Genomic DNA, 2235 nt, shown 5'->3' with positions numbered 1-2235 from the left:
TAATGATGTTTTCAGAGGAATATTTGTAATTTTGAATTTAATATTTTAATAAATACAGGAATACACAGATTTTGTTTGGAAAAGTTGTTTTTTCTTGAATTTTGTCCATTTCATCTAAATTTTCTCATATATTTTTGGCAAAACATTTTATATAGCATCCTTTTCTAATTTGTTTGCACCTACTCCCACTTTTCTTGATTTGTCTTGGCTGTGGTATATGTATATAATTGACCTTTATAAAAATGAACATATAGATTTATTAATTTTATTTTAGCCCATTTGTATTCAAGGTTAATATTGGTATGTGCAGATTTGATCTTGTCATCATGTCATTAGCTTATTATTATGCAAATGTAATTGCATTGTGGCTTTCTAGTGCTTTATAATGTATGTAGGTATGTACACTTGTTTTTGTGGTGGCTGGTAATGGTCTTCCTTTTCCATATTTAGCACCTGTTAAGGACCTCCTGTAATGCGGGTCTGGTGGTTATAAATTCTCTTTGTATTTGCTTGTCTATAAAGGGTCTTATTTCTCCTTTGCCTGTGAAACTTAGTTTGACTGGATGTGGAATTCTGGATTGGAATTTCTTTTCTTTATGAAAGCTGAATACAGGCCCCAGTCTTTTCTGGCTCCTGTGGTTTCTGTTGAAAGGTCTATTGTTAGCCTGATGGGGTTCCCTTTTTAGGTGACCTGTCCCTTCTCTAGCTGCCTTTAACATTTTTTTCTTTCATTTCAACCTTGGAGAATCTGATGATTATATGTCTTGGGGATAGTCTTTGTGTATAGTATCTCATAGGGGTTCCCTGCATTTCCTGAATTTGAATGTTGGCCTCCCCAGTGAGACTGGAAAAATTTTTATAGATGATTCCCCACGCATAATTTTTAAGTTGCTTGTTGTCTCACCTTCCCTTTCAAGGGTGGCAATGAGATGGAGATTTGGTAGTTTTACATAATTCCATATTTCTCAAAGGTTTTGTTCATTCTTCTTTGTTGTTTGTCTTTATTTTGTCTGACTGAGTTATTTTGAAGAACCCATCTTTGAGCTCTGAGAGTCTTCCCTCGGCTTGGTCAATTCTGCTGTTAATAGTTACAACTGTATCATGAAATTCTCATAGCTTTTCAGCTGTATCAGACCAGTTTTGTTCTTTCTTAATATGGCCATTTAGTCTTTAATCTCCTGTATCACTTTATTGTATTCCGTGGATTCCTTGGATTGGGTTCCGACTTTCTGGTGGATGTTGACGATCTTCATTTCTATGTATATTCTGAATTCAATTTCTGTCATTTCAGCCATTTCAGCTTGGTTAAGAACCATTACTTGGGAACTAGTGAGGCTGTTTGGAGGTAAGAAGACACTTTGGCTTTTAGAGTTGCCAAACTTTTTAACTAGTTCTTTCTCATCTGTGTGGGCCGTTGTCCCTTTAATCTTTGAAGTTGCTGTCTTTTGGTTTTATTTATTTATTTTGCTTTTATTTTCTTTTATGGGGTTTGATTGTGGTATAAGGTGGGTTCAATTAATTGGGTTTATTTATGAAAGATTTTTAGGGGCCAATTCTCAGCTCAGCACTCCTGTTTTGTGTGGTCTAACTCTGCAGGGCTGGTACAGGGCCCCTGGCTTTGTTCTCTGGCCCCTTGAGGACAGGAGCCAGCTGCAGTGGAGTGGCTGAGGTGTTCCCAATCTGCTGAACACAACACTGCCATAGATGGTGCCCACCAAAGCACTTCATCAGGGTGGCAGCAGTGGGATGCATTCTTGTTCCTGTGTGCCAGCAGCCATGGTAGCATGGTGGAGAGTACACATCAGCTGGGTGAGGTACTGTCAGAAGTGGGGCTATAGCATTTCTACATGTACTTGCACCAGCACAGAGGACAGGGTTACCAGCGTCTGTGCTCATATTCACACCATCAGCTGTGGGGATAGGGCCACTGGCGTCTGTGAGCTCGTTCACAACAGTGGCAATTGTGGTGTGCAGAGGGTGGCAGAGTCACCACCGTCTATGCATGTGTTCATACCAGCAATGACAGTGCGACTGAGTGCCCACACATTAGTGGTGTGGGGGGGCAGCATGTTGCTTCACACCAGCAGCAGCAGTGGGGTGTACATGCAAATGTGCAATGGCAGAGCGAAAATGAGGTCTGCCTCTACATGCCTGCTCCTGTAAAGCGGTAAGGGGGTGGCCACAGGTGAGTTTGTGCCAGCAACGGGAAAGCTGTGCGGCCAGGAGGGTGCAGGC

General features: G+C 41.1%; 2 annotated features.

Annotated features, from left to right (window-relative positions):
- Positions 339 to 916: an enhancer, noted in NCBI's record as "OCT4-NANOG hESC enhancer chr13:56011216-56011793 (GRCh37/hg19 assembly coordinates)". NCBI's record gives its function as "activates a minimal SCP1, AML or CMV promoter by ChIP-STARR-seq in primed H9 embryonic stem cells {active_cell/tissue: H9 hESC(primed)}" and the evidence as "EXISTENCE:reporter gene assay evidence [ECO:0000049][PMID:30033119]".
- Positions 1251 to 1999: an enhancer, noted in NCBI's record as "H3K27ac hESC enhancer chr13:56010133-56010881 (GRCh37/hg19 assembly coordinates)". NCBI's record gives its function as "activates a minimal SCP1, AML or CMV promoter by ChIP-STARR-seq in primed H9 embryonic stem cells {active_cell/tissue: H9 hESC(primed)}" and the evidence as "EXISTENCE:reporter gene assay evidence [ECO:0000049][PMID:30033119]".

This window comes from Homo sapiens, chromosome 13 (assembly GCF_000001405.40).
Source record: "Homo sapiens chromosome 13, GRCh38.p14 Primary Assembly".
Lineage (NCBI taxonomy): Eukaryota > Metazoa > Chordata > Mammalia > Primates > Hominidae > Homo > Homo sapiens.
The sequence above is the reverse complement of the archived record's forward strand: the minus strand, read 5'-3'. Positions and strand labels throughout refer to the sequence as shown.